This window comes from Homo sapiens, chromosome 17 (genome assembly GCF_000001405.40).
Source record: "Homo sapiens chromosome 17, GRCh38.p14 Primary Assembly".
NCBI classification, from domain to species: domain Eukaryota; kingdom Metazoa; phylum Chordata; class Mammalia; order Primates; family Hominidae; genus Homo; species Homo sapiens.
The window spans coordinates 43,613,350-43,614,478 of NC_000017.11; the positions used below are offsets into that span (position 1 = coordinate 43,613,350).

Consider the following 1,129-nt stretch of genomic DNA (forward strand, 5'->3'; position numbering starts at 1 on the left):
GCTGTGTCGCCCAGGCTGGAGTGCAGTGGCGTGATCTCGGCTCACTGCAAGCTCCACCTCCCGGGTTCCCACCATTCTCCTGCCTCAGCCTCCTGAGTAGCTGGGACTACAGGCACCTGCCACCGTGCCCGGCTCATTTTTTTGTATTTTTAGTAGAGACCGGGTTTTACCGTGTTAGCCAGGATGGTGTCGATCTCCTGACCTCCTGATCTGCCCGCTTCGGCCTCCCAAAGTGCTGGCATTACAGGCGTGAGCCACCGCGCCCGGCCGGGAGGAAGAAATATTAAGGGAACATCTAGTATGTGCTAGATATTTTCCTATTTTCTTTCTCATCTAGCTGCAAGATCATATGATAACATGAGACAGCAGAGAGGAGAAGACCCCTGTCTCACAGCCAGTAAGTGGTAGGGCTGAGGTTTGAACTCGGGTTTCTCCAACTCCAAAGCCTGGGCTCTTTCCTTCATGCAGTCTCCACACAAGAACTTGCACAGGTGCTCAAGGGTGCTGAGGAGGAGTGTTTGGTTGAAGATGCAAGAAGAGAGAGAGATTAAATGGGAGTGGGCTTAGATGAGGGAGGAAGAAGATGATGGGGAAGGAAGGTGGCAGACGGACTGAGTGATGGAGAAGGGAGGTGGGGGAGGGAAGGGTCACAGGGTTCTGCTTTGACAGGGATTTGGGATCCCAAGAATGGAGCTTTTTTTCCACACTGTGCCTTGCTGGAATCACCTCACGTCCCCACATGCGATGAGCTCATCCTTCTCTTGGCACCACCTGCCTCTCATCTTGGCCCTGGCTGGGACGCACCAACGTTTCTGCAGGAGGAATAAAGCAATAACAGGAATCTCATTTTTCTCCTTAAAATAATATCTCTCTGTTCTGCCAGCAAGCAGGGAGCTACTCCTGCCAGCACTCCAGTGGGAAGCCTGTTCCCAATCCGATAGGATTAGTCTGATACTGGCTTCCCAGGAGCCCCCAGTAGCCAAGGCAGCCCTCAGGTGACCTTGAGCTCCTGGCTACAGATCCCCTGATGTCCTTCTCAGCCCCCAGATAGTCACTCACCTCCATGCCTCCATCCCAGGCTCTCCAGGGCAAAGGGATGCTATTCTCACTAGTCCCAGGCTCCCCTAGC

The 1,129-nt window shown here is 53.7% G+C and overlaps 1 long non-coding RNA gene across 1 annotated transcript; it reads left to right on the forward strand.

Annotated features, from left to right (window-relative positions):
• Positions 1-275: 275 nt before the first annotated feature.
• Positions 276-846, forward strand: LOC124904008 (uncharacterized). Its single transcript, XR_007065763.1, has 2 exons — positions 276-397; positions 670-846. It is a non-coding gene; the product is annotated as an uncharacterized LOC124904008 (long non-coding RNA).
• The last annotated feature ends 283 nt before the right edge of the window (positions 847-1,129 follow it).